The sequence below is a fragment of the Homo sapiens genome, chromosome 6 (genome assembly GCF_000001405.40).
Source record: "Homo sapiens chromosome 6, GRCh38.p14 Primary Assembly".
NCBI classification, from domain to species: Eukaryota; Metazoa; Chordata; class Mammalia; order Primates; family Hominidae; genus Homo; species Homo sapiens.
In genome coordinates this window covers 34,077,017-34,093,943 of record NC_000006.12, presented here as the reverse complement: position 1 = coordinate 34,093,943, position 16,927 = coordinate 34,077,017, and the positions used below count along the sequence as shown (strand labels likewise).

At 56.7% G+C, this 16,927-nt stretch overlaps 1 protein-coding gene across 6 annotated transcripts in view, besides 4 other annotated features; it reads left to right on the top strand.

The window, feature by feature from the left end:
* GRM4 (glutamate metabotropic receptor 4) overlaps nucleotides 1-16,927 on the top strand; it is a 136,980-nt gene that overhangs the window by 61,679 nt on the left and 58,374 nt on the right. For 5 of the 6 annotated variants that reach the window (NM_001256809.3, NM_001256811.3, NM_000841.4 and 2 more), the window contains one exon: nucleotides 1,845-2,061. The exons of the other annotated variant lie outside the window; for it this stretch is intronic. In NM_001256809.3, the coding sequence (NP_001243738.1) occupies nucleotides 1,845-2,061 (217 nt within the window). The remainder of the gene's footprint in view (nucleotides 1-1,844; nucleotides 2,062-16,927) is intronic. 6 annotated transcript variants of the gene reach the window in all.
* Nucleotides 9,903-10,742: an enhancer, noted in NCBI's record as "H3K4me1 hESC enhancer chr6:34050979-34051818 (GRCh37/hg19 assembly coordinates)". NCBI's record gives its function as "activates a minimal SCP1, AML or CMV promoter by ChIP-STARR-seq in naive H9 embryonic stem cells {active_cell/tissue: H9 hESC(naive)}" and the evidence as "EXISTENCE:reporter gene assay evidence [ECO:0000049][PMID:30033119]".
* Nucleotides 10,743-11,582: an enhancer, noted in NCBI's record as "H3K4me1 hESC enhancer chr6:34050139-34050978 (GRCh37/hg19 assembly coordinates)". NCBI's record gives its function as "activates a minimal SCP1, AML or CMV promoter by ChIP-STARR-seq in naive H9 embryonic stem cells {active_cell/tissue: H9 hESC(naive)}" and the evidence as "EXISTENCE:reporter gene assay evidence [ECO:0000049][PMID:30033119]".
* Nucleotides 14,267-15,012: an enhancer, noted in NCBI's record as "H3K4me1 hESC enhancer chr6:34046709-34047454 (GRCh37/hg19 assembly coordinates)". NCBI's record gives its function as "activates a minimal SCP1, AML or CMV promoter by ChIP-STARR-seq in naive H9 embryonic stem cells {active_cell/tissue: H9 hESC(naive)}" and the evidence as "EXISTENCE:reporter gene assay evidence [ECO:0000049][PMID:30033119]".
* Nucleotides 16,052-16,882: an enhancer, noted in NCBI's record as "H3K4me1 hESC enhancer chr6:34044839-34045669 (GRCh37/hg19 assembly coordinates)". NCBI's record gives its function as "activates a minimal SCP1, AML or CMV promoter by ChIP-STARR-seq in primed H9 embryonic stem cells {active_cell/tissue: H9 hESC(primed)}" and the evidence as "EXISTENCE:reporter gene assay evidence [ECO:0000049][PMID:30033119]".

Below are 16,927 nucleotides of genomic sequence, written 5' to 3'. Positions count from 1 at the left end.
TGCCATTTTATAAAGACTACAAGAGCTGCAGTGAGGGGGTTTGGGAGTTAACCCTTGGTTGCTTAGAAAATCCAAAAAACCAGTTAACTGTTTGCCCTAACCACATCCTCACCCGTGAAGGTCTCAGTGGTTTGGGCTTTTCCCACAGGGGAGGCGGAGAGCGGGCCAGCTGGGTGGCCGAGCTGGGCCATGCTTTTGGCAATGGACGTTCTCAGGGGAGGGTGGACCCTCACTGTCCCCAGTCAACTTCCTTATTGTCATTTGTCCCTTTATTAAGAGGCTGTGGGACCTACTATGCATTGACTCTCCCCATCCTGCTCTGCTCCAGCCACACAGACCCCTTGCTAGGCCACCCATACACCACCTGCCACCCCGATGTCCCACCCCCTTATGCCACTCTGTGAGGCCTCATCGCTGTGGAGAATGGTCCCGGTCACTTGTTAGCTTGCTTGCTCCTCTCCTCCCACTAGAAGGAAGCTCCGTGAGTGTTTTATTCACTGCTGTCCTCAGCACTTAGGACATCATAGGTGCTCAATAAAGTCTTTGTTGAAGTGAATAGAGTTGAATGTCGGGATATTGAGGTGGGGCTTCTAGGTCGGCAGAACCTCTGCCCTGTCCTGAGGAAGGGGAGCTGACTGGTCTGGGGGGTGGCCCCAGGGATAGGGACACACTAGGCTTTGGCCAAGTGGGCAACCACTTGCCAGGGGCACCCCCAACCCTCCTGTCCCAGGAACATTTCCCCACCCACAGTTGCCACTGGGCCTGAAGTCTGGCCACAGGTTTCTTGGCCAGGATTGAATCTGAGTGATTCCTTAGGGGCATAAAATCTTAGTTTCGACGCCAGCCTGGATCAATATGCATTCCCCACCCCTGTCTCCCTGGACAACTGAGCGGGCAGAGGGCACACAGGAAAGAGGAGTGTCCCTGTGGGCCAAGCGGGGAGTGGAGCCCACAAGCCCTGAGCAGCCGGGAGAGCAGAGCAGTGGGTGGCGCCCTGGAGGGGAGGGGCGGAGAGGAGGGACCATACCCCTTCCCTGTCCTGGGGATGGTTGGGTGTATCTACAGGAGGCAGGGGGTCTGAGTCTCATTCCTGCCTGGGGAGGGTCCAGGTGGGGCCTGTGGAGGCGGGAAGATGCCCCGTGACTGGAAAGCCCCGGGGCTGGGGCAGGGCCCCGGGTCGGCTCTGCCTTGGAGAGGCTGTGGGACCCGGCAGGGTGGTGACTCTCTGGGCTCAGTGTCCCCAGCTCCAGAGAGAAGGGAATTCCTGAAGCCCACCCCACTAGCTTCCTGGGCTTCCATCCTTGGGGTTGGAGTGGGGGACAGGGGAGCTGGAATCGAGGCTCCATCTCCTCTGAGCAGGGCACGAGGAAGGAGGCTGAGCTGGCAGAGAGCTGTGGGGACAGGGTCTGCTGGGTCCTGACCAGAGGAGCTGCCTGGGGACATGGGATGGGCCACATGACCCCTCAGGGCCCCTCCCAACACCCAAATCCCACCCCATCCCCAGGCTGAATCATCTCACGTATGTGGGGATTTTCCCTGGGCTGGGATCTTTGAGCTCTTTGTGTAAATTTAGGCAGCCAGAGGCTCCCAGGGTGTATGTGTGTGTGGTGTATGTATGTGTGTGCCTGTGTGTGTATCTGTGTGTGGTTGGGGTGTCTTTGGGGACCCCAGGGAGGCCGGTTGGGAGACTTTCTGGAGGAGGAGGCATCGCCCATGGGGAGGGGTGGGCTGTGGTGGTCCCAAGGCTGTGGGGACCAAAGGGAGGTTGGTGTGTAGGGGAATGGGGCTGGCTAGGCAGGGTGGGGAGCCAGTCGCCACCCTCAGCAGCCCCTCTCGCCCCTCAGATACCCCAGATCAGCTACGCCTCCACAGCGCCAGACCTGAGTGACAACAGCCGCTACGACTTCTTCTCCCGCGTGGTGCCCTCGGACACGTACCAGGCCCAGGCCATGGTGGACATCGTCCGTGCCCTCAAGTGGAACTATGTGTCCACAGTGGCCTCGGAGGGCAGCTATGGTGAGAGCGGTGTGGAGGCCTTCATCCAGAAGTCCCGTGAGGACGGTGAGTCAAACGCCTGGCCGCAGAGTCATGCCAGGCTCGGGGGTGTCCCGGCACAGTGACTGACCCACCAGGAGCTCCCAGCCGGGGCCTGATACAGGCTCTGACTGCCTGGCTGTTGCCAGGTGGGCCTCGGCCTCTTCTTTGAGCACTGTGGTTTGGTCCATGGCCTCACTGGGCTCTGGGTGACTCCGGTCAACGGCGACTGTGAGGCCTTTGCAGACGTGGGTGTGCAGATGAGGGGACTGTTGACCTCCCTGGTGCAGGAGCCTGCGGGGCGGCCGCTCTCCTCACAGCAGAGGAAGGGATGGGGTGGGGACGAGGGGCCTTGTTTAGAGGGCTGTCAGGGACTCAGGTGATGGGCGGACAGCCAGGCAGGCTCTCAGAGGAATGAGGAATTTGGAGCCCCTAAAATTAACCTGTCTGTGGTGGGGGTGAGGGTGGAGGGCCGCGGGTGGTCTGTGCTGGTTTGGGCATCAGTAAAGAAGGTGTCCCTGTGGGTGGGGTTTGAGGAACTCTGGCAAGTATTTATTCTCCTCGAGGTCTCCCCCTCGTACCCTGATGCCATCTTCCCCCATTAAGCGTGCTGAATTGCCTTAAATTGCTGTCCTCAGATGCTCTGTGATAAAGCTTTCAGGTGTCCCCAGTGATAAGTGGCTGAGCGATAACAAGGGTTATCCCCTTGGCAGGTGACTCCCACCTAGCAGGGCCCGGGAGCAGGCCCCTGGCTGGGTCTGTGCTGCTGCTGGTGCCCTGAGAGGGCTGGCTGCATGGGCTGCAGCTGTGGGCATCTTGGGGCAGCAGGCAGCCCTAGGCTGGGGGCCTCCACCTGGGCTGGGGTGAGCCAAGAGGGGACAGCTCCTGGGGGGCTGTGGGGCTGAAGGATGGTGCCTGTGACTTCCTCGGGGCCCTGTTGTGTGTGGGGGAAGTGGGGAGGCCCTTCTCCCTCCTGGCAGACCCACCTCCTGCAGAGAGGGCCCGTCTGCCCTGCCCCTGGTCTCTCCCAAGGCCCTGCCTCTACACAGCTCACCAGTGCCCGAGACCTTGGGTGATGGCGTCTGTATATTTATACCCTCATGGCCTCAGGACTCTAATTGCTTTTCCTAAGGACTACAGAGTGTCCAGAGGCTGCCGTTGGTAACACCCCGTGGGCATAATCCTGCTATAAATCTCGGATAAGCCCCTTTAATTGTACAGCTGAAGCTGCTTGGGGGCCTCCACCTGGTGGAGGGGGCAGCGGGGCGGCGGGAAGTGGGGCAGCACTGACTGATGGCTGAGGCTCCAGGCTACTCCCCACTTCTGCAGCCTGGCAGAGCAAAAGGAAGCAGAGGTGAACAGGACTCCACTCCCAGCTCCAGATGGGCTGGCAATAGCACCTGGGAACCCTGGCGGACAGTGTCAGAGCCTCCGAGCCCCAGAGCCCAGCCCCTCCCTTGGGCCACCCACATGTCCTTTCCTCCTTTGCTCAGACCCAAGACCTGGGCACCTACCTCTGGACAGCACCTCCCACTCTGCTCTGCTGGCTCCTTTCCTCCTCTGTGGCTTCAACTCTTCCCCAAACCAACCTCCTACCTTTTCTGTTTAATGCATGACCTCTGCAGGATTTAGGGGCAAAGGTATAGGATGGGGGAAGGGATCAAGGGCCCTGAGTCTCCGTGTTCAGTTGTGTTCAGTCCCTGCCCTGAGGGACCTCAAAGCCACCCCCAGTGCTCATGCAGGCCTCCCTCTGTGCCCAGCACCTGCTGTCCTGGGCAGTCCTTCCTGCCCTACGAGGTAGATGCTGCCTCATCCCCATTTTGCAGGAGAGGAAGTGCAGGCACAGAGAGGCTGAATAATAGCTAGCACCAGGCCACACAGCAAGTAAGAGGTGGAGAAGGGATTTGAACCCAGGATGGCTGGCTCCGGAACTAGAGGTCTCATCTGTTTCTGTACTCTTGTCTTCTCTGTCTTCTGTCATTTGCGTGCTCACTGAGACCCACATGGGCCAGCCCCTGTGCAAGTGCTAGGGTATGACAGGGACACACAGGCACACCCATGTACACACAGCCTGGAGGGACAGGAGAGGCATGGGATGGGGGTGGGGTCTGGGCATTGTGTTTTGGCTGAAGGTAAGCCTATTGTTTAATTTTTTTTTTATCAACATCTAATCAAGTATTGGGCGGTTAGAAAAAATAAAGTCTACTCAAGATTTTTTAAAAGGACTTCATGATCTAGAAAAATAAAATTTGCCATTATGCAAGGGCCTCCAGCTCGGGGCACTCCTGTCCTGGCAGAGGCGCCCCTCACAATACCTGCCACACCCCATGCACCATCTGAGGGCCTGGCTTCCTGCTTGGCTGGGCCTCCCACGTCCCCAAACTTCCAAGGCCACCCCATGCCAGTGTGCAACATCCTACGGGGGCCTGGCCAGGGCAGTTCAGGCAGCTAGGTCTCGTCGCGCAACCCAATAAATGAAATTTGATTTGGAGGAACATCTTTTAGTGGGTGAAAAGAAAGGAAGAGAGAGAGAGAGAGCTGCACTTCAGCTGGCCAAATTGAAATCAGAATTGAGCAGCCAGTAGAAAGAGGCCACTGTACCTTGTAGCCTAATCCCTGTGAAAGATTAAAGATGTCTTTGGCCGTATATTGTATTGATTCGTACTCTGAAGTATAAATCATCTGTGAGTTGCTCAGAGGAGCACCAGAGAGGGGAGTGGTGGGGAGGGCATGCTGGCCAGGCTGGGATGCATGTTGGAAGTGTGGTGAGTGAGTCCTGGGTGCCAACTGTGTGCTGGTCTCTGGGTGCTTCAGAGGAGCATGACTATGCCCATTTTATAGATGGGGAAATGGAGGCCAGAGGGGGTGGGTCACTTTCCCAAGGCCACAGAGCTAGAACATGGAGGAGCTGGGATGGGAACCTGGCTCTGTCCTGCAGGTGGGGAGCCTGTAGGTGGCACATGGAGTGGCCCAATACTGACTGGGCCACTGGCACCAGGCCTAAAGGAAGCCCTGGCACTGGCATTCCCCACTCCCACCCTTGTCTACACATGCTCTGGGCAATCCTGTGGCCCTTGACTGAGCCCTGCCTGGGCCAGACACCCCCTGTGACTATTACAGATCCTGGTAATAACCATGTGGCTAGGTGAAACACCCGTGGGCTAGGTGTTTTTTTCCCATTTTGCAGATGGGAGAACTGAGCCTTAGAGAAGTGATGTGGCTTGCCTAGGGTCACACAGCCAGGTGTCAGAGCAGGACTTGGAGCTAGGGCTGTCAGACCAGGTACTCTACCTATACACCCTGTCTCCTCCAGCTTGCATTGCAGAAGCGGCGGCAGGTGCTTAAGAGGTCAGGCTCCTTCGGGCAGACCTGTGCCCTGTCTCGGATGCTGATTGGCTGTGCGGTCTTGGGAAAATCATTTCGTCTTTCTGGGCTCAGTTTCTTATCTGTGAAATGGGAATAAAGCAAGGTATAAGAGTAAAATGTGTGGTCGGGTACGGTGGCTCACACCTGTAATCCCAGCACTTTGGGAGGCCGAGGCAGGCGGATCACGAGGTCAGGAGTTTGAGACCAGCTTGGCCAACATGGTGAAACGCCGTCTCTACTAAAAATACAAAAATTAGCTGGGACTGGTGGCACGAGCCTGTAATCCCAAGCTACTTGGGAGGCTGAGGCAAGAGAATCGCTTGAACCTGGGAGGTGGAGGTTGCAGTGAGCCGAGATTGCGCCATTGCACTCCAACCTGGGTGACAGAGCAAGAATCTGTCTTAAAAAAAAAGGAGTGAAACGTGCTCCTGGCACATACAGGCGGGAGCTCAGGAATGCGCACTGGAGGGTTTGTCAGGGTCTGGCTGCCTGGGTCCCAGCCCTACCTGGGGCCTGGCTAGTCCTGGGGAGGCCTGGGAAGTGCTGGGCCCCGTGCTGTGCCGTAAATGGAGATACAGGTGTGTCCAGGGATGGGGCTAGAGACAAAACTACAGGAGCCCAGGCTAGCCTGGTTCTTAGGGTATGGCTGGTCTGGTGGGGAGAGGGCAGCAAGGTGAACTCCAAAGGCAGCTAGGCCAGGACGTGTGTGTGTGTGTGTGTGTGTGTGTGTGTGTGTGTGTGTGTAGGGGTGCATGTCTGGGAAGTTCTGGTCATGTGACTGGTAGGCCTGCCTTGGTGGGGATATCTGTAGACTGGGCCTGTGTGTGTGTGTGTGGGGGGGGGGTTGTGTGTGTGTGTGCGGGCACGTGTGGACCTTCTGGTTGCAGCCAGGACTTCTTCCTCCCTGTCAAGGCTGAGGCTGCACCAGGGAAAGGCAAGGAGGCTGCCCTTCCCTCCCGGGCTCCTCTGCAGCATCACCAGGGCTGGATTAGACATGCAGAGCAGGCCTCGCCTGGGCTCTGGAGATAATGCCAGTGAGTCACTGAGGAGGGAGAAAGGCAGGCGGTGGCAAGCGGGTGGCACAGACGTGGGCACAGATGTGGCAGGCTTTTTTTTTTTTTTTTTGAGATGGAGTCTCGCTCTGTCACCCAGGCTGGAGTGCAGTGGCGTGATCTCAGCTCACTGCAACCTCCACCTCCCGGATTCAAACGATTCTCCTGCCTCAGCCTCCCAAGTAGCTGGGACTACAGGCATGCACCACCATGCCTGGCTAATTTTTGTATATTTAGTAGAGACGGGGTTTCACAATGTTGGCCCGGTTGGTCTCGAATCCCTGACTTCAGGTGATCCACCCGCCTTGGCCTCCCAAAGTGCTGGGATTACAGGCGTGAGCCACCATGCCTGGCCTTTTTTTTTTTGGAGATTGGGTCTCACTCTCTTGCCCAGGCTGGAGTGCAGTAGTACAATCACAGCTCATTGGAGCCTCAACCTCTCAGGCTCAAGCAATCCTCCTGCCTCAGCCTCCCGAGTAGCTGGAACCACAGGCATATACCACCATGCTCGGCTAATTTTGTTTTCATTTTTTGTAGGGATGGGGTCTCACCATGTTGCCCGGGCTGGCCTCAAACTTCTGGGCTCAAGTGATGCTCCCACTTTGGTCTCCCAAAGTGCTGGGATTATAGGCATGAACCACTGCACCTGGCCCAGGCCTGTTTTAAGTGCTTTGTACATATTACCTCATTTAGCTCTCAAGACAGCTCATTATACCAATGGCTAAACAGAGGCTCAGAGAGGTTAAGTAACTCCCATGAGGCCACACAGCTAGGAAGTGGCAGGGGCAGGATTTGAATCCTGCAGATACTCTCCCCAGCCACTGAACTTACCCTCTGTGGTGCATGGGGCAGGAAGTCCTATCCACGGGGTCACCTGAGAGTTTGTCTCTAGTCCTCTCAGGTAAGTGCATCTAGCATGTCTGGGCACATCTGTGCCTTAAGGGTGGAAACAAGATGGCCTCTCTGAGTGTGGCAGGAAGGAGTGTGGGGGGCTTGGCCTGCTCCTTGGAGGATGTCTCGTTCCTTGAACAGCAGGAAATTCTGAGGCCCTACCTCTTGGCTGTGTTGCTGTGCCCTCCATTGATATTCCAGAGATGCGGGTGAGTCAAGCTGTTGCTGGGTCTGACCTCCTGCTCCGACTCCCAGGGCTGAGCATCAGACTTGCATGTAGATGGCCTCTGTCAGCACAGTGGCATGGCATGGCTGGCAGCCCGCTGAGGAGACAGTGCTTGGGCAGCAGGAGGCCCAGGCTGGGCAGCTCCTCATCCAGTGGGCTGTGAGACTCTCGGCATGTGGCGTCCCTGGCTGTAAATGGAGCACCCCATCTACGGAGGCTCCACGGGGATGAGGTGGAGATCTGTACGGCCAGAGCCAAGGGGGCTGGCCCCACTCACATTAAGGGTGCCTGTTCCGCTGCCTCTCCTCACTCTCTGGCCTTGCCTCCTTCCGTGCCTCTCCCTCGCTCTTGCCACAGCAGCTATCTTGCAGCTCCTCAAATGTTCCAGGCACCAGCTCGCCTCAGGGCCTTTGCACGGGCTGGTCCTCCTGTGGGAAAGCTTCTCCTGCATGTCCACACGGCCTGCATTCTTGGTGTCTTCAGGTATCTTCTCGGATGTCTCCCTTCAGAGAGGCCTCTGACCAGCCTATCTGAAACAGCCCCTGCCTCCGTCCTACTCTCCAGTCCCCGTACCCTGCTCTGTTTTTCTTTATAGCACCAGACTAATACATTTTTATTTGTTTGTATATGGTCCACCAAGGCAGAGATTTTAATCTGTTTTGTTCTCCGCTGCATCTCCAGCATCTAACACAGCCCTGGCACATAGTAGTTGCTCAATAAATGTTTGTTGAATGAATGGTTAATTGCAAAATCCAGCCCCCAACTACTCACTTCTTCTTTAGCTCTCTTCCCACCCCTAGACCTGAGAGGTTGCTCTCTCAGCCTACAGAGGGGCAAACTGAGGCTGACGGGGTGTAGGCATTGGGGGTGAGGCCAGGCTACCCTGGGACCTCCACCTCCTGCCCTACTGAGCTCCCTGGCTGTTCCCCTTCCTCTCTCTACTGACTCACTGAGGACAGAAATCCATTCCTGGAGGCATAAGGTAGGGAGCAGGAACTTGGGGCCTGTCAGCAGCTGCGTCAGGTGAACTGTGGGGTGCGCCTCCTGCCATTCCTCACTGCTGGCCTTGGGTGCTTCATCCTGCAGTGCTGCTGCCCTGGGGGACAGGAAGGGAAAGAGGCTCAGTCCTCCACCAGCTTGAGTCTCCAGTTGGCTGGGACTTCCTAGATTTATTTCGCCCCTGTGCTGTGCCCCCTGCCCTCCTTTGCATATAGAGGGCCTCAGCATAGCATATGACTCTGTAGAGTGAAGTGTGAGTGAACAGACGACCAGCCCTGTTCCCTGGGCACGTTCCCAGCCCCAGCGTGAGACAGAGACAGGCTGCAGGCCCTGCTCTCAGGCCCTTTTGGTGGGCATGAGAGGAGCCATGCACAGCCAGCCCTAGCACCTGCCCTGCACACAGTAGGTGCTCAGCAGAGCCCGCCTGAATAAGTAAAAAAAGGGATGTGGTGATGTGTCCATTGAAGTGAAGACACAAATCCCAGGACTGCGGGGGCTCCAGCCTAGCCAGGCTGGGCAGGCAAGCAGGGCTTGGAGGAGGTGTATTTGGACAAGAGGAGGAAGGAAAGGGCACGCCAGGTGGGAGAACAGTAGGAACAAAAGCCTGGAGGTGTGAATGAACAGGCAGATGGAAGCGATGAGAGGCCTGGGTTGGAGCTCCTGTGGCCGTGGGGTGGGGAGCCATGTGAGGTGGGGCTGAGGAGAGTTTCTTTTAGGCCAATGCCGCATGTTGAAATGTTTTGGCACTTGGGGTCGTGCTGGGGTCGCGCTGGCTTGGCTGACCATCTCCACTTGTCGTGCCTAACTTGCTCAGGGCCCTGAGGGGTCCCCTTGCCATTGAGGCTCAGAGCCAAGGCCCCTCCTCCCTGCAGGTGCCCCTCACCTGCCCTGTCCCAAACAGAGCTGTGCTCCTTGGTGGAGCAGGCGGGGGTGGAGTTTTCCCCCCCAGGCTCCCTGGGAAGCCCCTTCAGGTGGGCTACAGCGCCTGCTGACCCTTCCCTCTGCCCCTGCCCCACTGATGGCTCCTGAGGCCAGGGAGGGACAGGACCCCACCTAGCTCTGTGCCCCCTGCCCTCCCTCGCACATAGCAGGGCCTCAGCACACGCTGCAGAGTGAAGAGTGAGTGAGCAGATGACCAGCCCTCTTCCCTGGGCTTCCTCCTCTCACCTGTGATGGGAGTGGGTACAGCAGCCCGCCTCTGAGGTCCAGCTGGCACGGACAGGCTGCATCCTCGCCCTCCATGGCCTTGGCTCTAGGCATCCTTCATGAGAGCAAAGACCTGTTCCCCACAATTTGGACCCATCCTGAAGACACCCTCAGACACCCACTGAAAACTACTTGTTTAGAATGTGTCTCTCAGAGGAGTGCTGGAAAGGAAGCGTCCGGCAAGGCCTAAAGGAGTGGATGTCAGGGGTGACCCCTCAGGGCTTGGCGTTTCGGTTCAGGAATGATTGGGGCCAATTGCATGGTGGCAGTGCCTGGAGCATGCAACCCTCCCACCTCATCAGATGACCCATGGTTGAAATGAGCAGGGAGCGGGGGTTTGAGGTGGGTAGAAGCAGGCAGGGGTGCTGCCGCTGGCTTTAGCTTGTATCCAAGTATCAGGTGACTTTTAGCAGCTTCAAAGCGGGAGGCCTCTGTACTGTTCCACCAGCTGCCTCCTGGGACCCAGGGACCCTGCGGCCCAAGGCTGAGCACTCTGCCCTCTGACGTTGTGTTTTCCCAGGACGCAGGGGAGTGGGCCCCACCCTGCAGCCAGAACCTCCCATTCTAACCTATCAACCAGGGCTTTCTAGACCCAAGACCCATCTTGCCTTCCGCTGCCCTTGTACGCCACCTGTCACTCTGCTGCGGGTGGAAATTAAGTGGACCTGGCACGTGTGCCCCCTGCCAAGCCACGAGACCCACCACGCGCCAGCTGGGTCTCCTTGCCAGGGCTTGGAGATTGGCAAGGTGTTGGTGTTAATGTGACTGCTCATGATTGCCAGGTCAGTCTCTGTTCTGTTGTGAAGATGAACCACGCGCTTGTTTGGTGCGCCTCCGGGACTGCGCCTGTCGGCTTGGATTCCTCTGCCATTCTGACCTGTGCAGGGCCTGACACCTCTGCATTTTGTAAGTCCCCAGGTTGGTGTCGCCGGGCCTGCTGCTTTTCTTTCAGTGCGGCCACTTTTCCTGGCTCCCTCTGCCTGATGCGCTCGTCCAGACGGGGACATGCTCCCGTCTGCATTCGCCTCTGAGCTTGATGGGAATGACAGGAGGAAAACGTCAGATGCTGAGCCCTTTTTGCTCTGAATTTGCATCTCTTCCCTCCTGACAGGAAGCAACATTTTCTTTCACAGCCTCCTTTGTGGAATGTGTTTGAAGATTCCTTTGGGGTTTGAAAAAATTCCCTTTGCTGGTGGCAGCCCCTTTGTGGCTTTGGCGTTCTGAATCCGGTCCTTTTCCCCAGTGATGCAGGAGAATAGAGTGGCCAAGAGCCCAGACACTGGGGCAGACGGCCTGGCTTCAAATCTGGCTCTGCCATCATGAGTTGTGCTGCCCTGAACAGTTACCGAGGGGCTCTGTGCCTCAGTTTCCACCTTTGTCAAACAGGGATAGTAATAGTCCTTCACTTACAGCTTGTTGTGAGGTTAAGTGCGTGAATACCTATACGGTGCTTGCCGGGTGGGCCGGGCACTGCACCGAGCACTGGTGCTCTCAAAGGCATTAGTTGTTTTCCTTCTTAACCAGAGAATAGGAGCAGGGCAGCGGGCCCTGGGCTGGGAGGCGGGCTGAGTTCTGGTCCTGGCTCTTGTCCCTGGGCGGCTGTGTGACTTCAGGCTGGTAACCTTCCCTCTCTGAGCCTCAGCTTTATCGACAGCATGCAGCCAACACATCAGGGGACCTCTGAGTCCCCCACAACACAGGTCTTCACATCCCTCACTGACTTCTCGTGGCTTTCCTGTCTCACTTTGCCACATGGAGGGTCAAGCACCACAGTTGGTCTCTGGCTTCCTGTGTGTCTTGTTCTTGGGCCCAGTGGGGAGCCCACAGAGTAGCTACTTCCACAGCGGTCTGCCCCCTAACTTCTCTGGCCTCTGTTTATTTATTTATTTATTTATTTTGATATATTTGACAAATCTCTAAACTGGAATCCCATTTCTTCAAGCTCATTTTCTTCTGTTGTTTCTTTCTCCTCCTTACTGAGCCTCTTCACTCAGAGCACACAGGGATCTGTCCCCCAGGCTCCCACTGGACAGGGATCTGTCCCGCAGGCTCCCACTGGACAGGGATCTGTCCCGCAGGCTCCCACTGGACAGGGATCTGTCCCGCAGGCTCCCATTGGACAGGGATCTGTCCCGCAGGCTCCCATTGGACAGGGATCCTTCCAGTTTCTTCCCTTGGCTAAAGGGCAAGTGGTGAAGCCTGCGGCCCTGCTCACCCCAGCTCGGGTTTGGGCCTTGACCTTCAGGAAAGCGTCTTCACCTGTTTGCTGACCCTGGACTTCTGCCTGCTTTCCTGGCTGGGGTGGGGTTCCTGGCACTCCAAGTCCCCCACTCTGAGCTCCTTGGGGATGTGGCTGAGATAAGCCCCAGCTGCCTTTTTCTCTGCATCCCTGGAGGGACGCTGTGAACCCACCGTTTCCTTCCTTGTCTCACATTCACCACCCAGCGCTTCCCACCTCAGGCCTACATGGGCCCACCAAGTGCCCTGGGGCGGGGATGTCCAGCAGCCTGCGTCCCACTCTCAGCCCCACCCTCTACCACTGTATGGCCGTACATGATTCACTTCTCCCTGAGCCTCCGGTTTTTCATTTCTAAGACCAAAAAGGGACTGTGTGCCTTCCTCAGTGAGCTCATGTATTTGGGCACGAATGGTGCATGCGGACATTTCTGCCTTGATATTCCATGTTCCCCAACCTGGTCCCTCTTCCTTCTTCCCAGAGCCCTTGAGCCTGAAGAGACTCGGCCTCCCATGCCAGCCACACAGCCAGCCTGGCCTGGCCTGTGTACAGACCCCTGAGACTCCTTGTGTGTAATACACACATTTTGAGGCCATGTTCATGAACTGTCATGACAGATGCTGCTCCCCGGCCCCAGCCTCAGCCCCTGCACAGAAGTCCTGAGCATTGTCCCCACTTTAGAGGAGGTGACTGCAGCCCAGGGTGCCCAGGAGCTTGCCTGGGCCCTCCCAGCTTGTCAGGGCAGAGCTGGGCTTTGTAGCCAGTTCTGCATGACTCCGAAACTGGCCCTTGCTCTGGAGCTCGAAGGTGGGAAGACTGAGTCCTCCTTTTAAGTGGAGAATTTGGTTCCCTTCATCTGGCCTTCCCCAGGGAAGCATTGGTGGGCTTGTCAGATGGGCAGGCCTCAGAAGGCCCTGCCCCACAGAGGCCAGCAGTTCTAGGGCTAGGGAGGAAAGAGGTAGGGATGGGGGCAGGGTAATCTCAAAGGGTCCCTGGTTTCGCCACCTGGTCTGAGGCTTGGAAGACCTTGGCATGGTAAGGGTTGTGTGTGTGTGTGTGTGTATATGTATGTGTATGTGTGTGTGTATGTGTGTGTGTGTGTGAGAGAGAGAGAGAGAAGAGAGAAGTGGATCAGGATCCCTCAAGTCACGTGTGACTCCTGCGTGACCAAGTATGAGCTGTGACGGCCCCTTTCTGAAAGTGGTCTGGGAGGGCTGAATCCCCTGGCAGCCACTGCTCTGGTGCTGGCTCCCCTCATGCTTCTGGGACTTTCAGGGACTCAGAAGGTGGGACCCGGGCCTCCCAATCCCACAGACTTGCCCCAGGGGTATGGCTGGTGAGGAGGGGCGTGGCCATTTTTTTCCTTCTGCCCTCCAGCCTTTGCATCCCTTTCCTCCACAGTAATTTATTCATCTGCAGAATGAATATTTATTGAGCACTGACTATGTGCCAGGCATTGGACCAGGACACTGGGGTACGGCCGTGGACTAAGCAGATGAAGCTCCTGGCCTTGTGGGGCTCACACTTGGGGAAAGGGCAGGAGGAGCTTCCAGTGAATAAGCAAACACATCACTGTATAATTATAATTTGAGATACCAGCTGTGAAAGATGCTGCTCTGAAGAGGAACAAAGCAGTGTAAGTGGACAGAGAGGGGCAAGTAAGGGAGACTCTTCCCTGCAAGGTTGACGGCCTTTCGGTCCTCACCCTGGCTTTCTGCAGGGGTGACTTTTGGCAGATCCCCAGCTGCAGCGAGGGCATTAGCCAGGTGGAGATCTGTGGGAAGAGGGCCCCAGGCAGGGGAACTGGCATGTGCAAAGGCCCTGAGGTGGTGCCTGCCCGGCATTTGGAGAATAACCAGGAGGCAGGGGCAGAATGAGTGAGGCAGGGAGACATACGGCCGGAGGAGGGCAAATTGCATGGGGCCCTGGGGGGGCCTGTGGGGACTTTGGCTTTTGTTCTGGGTGAGCTGGGAGCCGTTGGAGGGTCAGGAGCAGAGGAGGGTCGAGATCCCTCTGGCTGTTGTGCAGGGAATAGAGTGGGGCCCTGGGCCAGTGTGGAGGCCACTGTAGTCCAGGCAAGAGGTGACAATGGCCTGGACCAAGGGTGGGGGTGGTAAGAAGGGACAGATTTGGGGTTTATTTGAAGTCTGGGCCCACCAGCCTTGCTTCTGGGTTGCCTGTGGCCAGAGGGCTGGAGGATGAGGGGTTGCGGGGCCAGGCACGGCACTCCTGGCTTCAATACCATGGACGGTGAGTCTGCCCCAAGGTCAGCTGCTCTGGGAAGTCCTGGTTGGCTCCAGCCCAACCAAGGGCTCCTTTCTGGGCAAGTCTTATGGATGCTGAGTGGGGCCTCATCTGTGAAGTGCAGTCTCTTCCCCTTGGTTTTGTTACCAGTTTCTTTTTTAGCTATATACATGTTTATTTCTGGGCACTGCTGCAAATTCTTTTTGGGACAAGGCAGGTCTGAATGCAACGATGAAGCTGGGACGAGAGGTTTGAAGCAGTTGTCTCCAAAAATCTCTTGTGTCTCTGGCTAAACTGTTGTTGCAGGGATGGGAAGGCCAGGCAGGAGTCGGGGAAGGGAGGCTGCCTTGAGGAGCAGTGATGGGAGAGACCTCCAGGGGAGGTGGTCCTATCTCAGGGTGGTGGGAGGGTGTCCTGGCTGCATGCCTGCCTTCTGAGAGTAAGGAGGGGCAGCCTTCCTGAAAGAGCAGCAGGTGACGTGAGGCGGGTGGGCTGGCCCTGGCAGAGAGCGCTTTCCCCGGCCTGCTGGACTTGCCTTGTGTCCATGGATGAGCCACTGTTCCTCACTGGCTCTTGGTTTCTCCACCTGTAGTATGGGGACAACTGTATTCCGACTTTGCTGGTTATTGTAAGAATTACAGAGATAGGAATTAGCCAACAGAAAGGCCTAGTGAGAGCTGGAGGGAGTGAGGGGCTGCCTCTGAGGCCTCAGACCTGGGGGTGCGCCTGGGCCTCTCTCAGCCTCCCGTTGTGACCGTCCTTTCCTCTCTCCCTCACTTACATGCTGCCCCATTATATCTGTGCCCCATTTTGCGGTAGACAGAATGATCATATGGATATTCTATGCAAATTCTGCTTTTTAATGAGCCAGAAGGAAAGCTAACGACTCTTGCAGACGGCTTGGGGCCCCAGGGAGGCCTTGGGATATGGGGAGGAGAGGAAGCAGGACAAAGTGACAAGTAAGAGGAGAGGAGGGAGGGAGGGCGGAGAGTGAACAGAGGGCCACGCAGTAGGGGCTGCGGAGGGGTGCGGGACAGGGGACAGTGGAGGCCCTGTGACCATCTCCCTGAGCCTCCATGCCCACCCCATTTCACAGGTAGGAAACAGGCTGAGAGAGCAGAGGCCACTTGTCAGGTCAACCCAGAAGGCAGGAAGCAGAGAGGACGGTGAGATAGAAAGGTGGAGGTGGGGAAGAAGACGGGGTGGAAGAAGGGAAGGTGTGGACCGCAGCACTGGGCTCTGGCTGGTGGGGCTTGGTTTCCTTATCTGTAAAATGGTCATCATACCTAGGACCTGGGTGGACTGGAAGGAGCTCAGGAGACAACACGTAGAAAGGTTACTCTACTGGGAGTGCTGTGTGAACATGAGGGGCTGTGCAATGATCGAAGAGAGTGTGTATTTGGGGGGAGACAGAGAAGAAGCAGAAGGTGGGCAGGAGAGAGTAGGGGAAGACAGGAAGCGCAGAGGAACAGGAGCTGGAGATGGGTCCGGGAGCCTTCCGGACAATAGGTCAAATGTTAGTTAATTAACCACCTAGCATGTTCATTCATTTGTTCATTCTTTCATCCCTATTGTTGGCTTCATAGATGGATGTCAGCTCCACGAGGGCAGGCTTATCTGTCCTATTCCAGGCTGTACCCACAGAATCTAGGACAGCTCCTGGCACTGGAGGTTGCTGAGTCAGTGACAGTGACTGCTCTGTGCCTGGCAGTGTGTGGATCCAGGGCCCAGCAGTGGCCACTGCTGGAGTCAGAGGCTGGTGGGCACAGAGGCATCTAGTCCCGTAACTTTCATTCACTGTGCGAAGTGCAGTGATTGAGACATTGAGATTGTTATAGGTGCCCAGGGGAGGAGGAGCTTGGGGATACCCATAAAGGCTTCCTGGAGGAGGAGGCCCGAGCTGAATCCTTAAGAACAGATGGAGCTGACTTGAAGAAAAGAGTCTGGGAAGGTGAATCAGACATCAAAGGCAGAGCAAAGAGTCTGACTAAAGGCTCTGATGTATGTTGGAAACTGCAGGTGCTGTTAGAGTTGGGGGTGGGAGAGGAGGCTGGGGGTGGATGAAGTCAGTCCTGCAGGGCCTCAGGACAGGGCTGAGGATTGGACTTGGCCCTGAGGGAGGTGAGAGCCACTGAAGGTGTGAGGGATGGGAGTGACCAGGTGGGACTAGAGTTTTGGTGGAAAGTTGTAAGGGCCAGGCTGGGTAGGCTGAGGTTTGTGTGGCAGGTGTGGGGCTGTGGTCTGGAAAGATGGTGTCGACAGGAGTGGAGGTGCGCCGTGAATTAGGGCCTGAGGGGTCAGCTGGCTGCTACCAGGTGTGGCTGGACCTGCCCCAGGGACGCTGAGCTATCTGGGGCTCCAGAGCCAGCCTGAGAGGGGCCTGGGCAGAATGTGTGAGAGCGGCATGTGCTGGTCAGCCTCGGGCAAATCCTGGCCCCTCTCTGGTTTAGATCAGAAAGGAGCTTTCAACTCTGGACAGCTGCACCCTACCTCTGGGGACATGTGGGACATGTGGGGAAATATGTGGGGCACTTTGGATTATCACAATTACTTGAGCGTCTAGTCCCTTGCACTGTAACACGGGACAGTCCCACACTGTGAAAAGCTGTCCCACTCCAAATGTCTGTTGAGAAAAACTTGCAGAGGCTACCCACCCCTCCCCCAGCTCCAGCT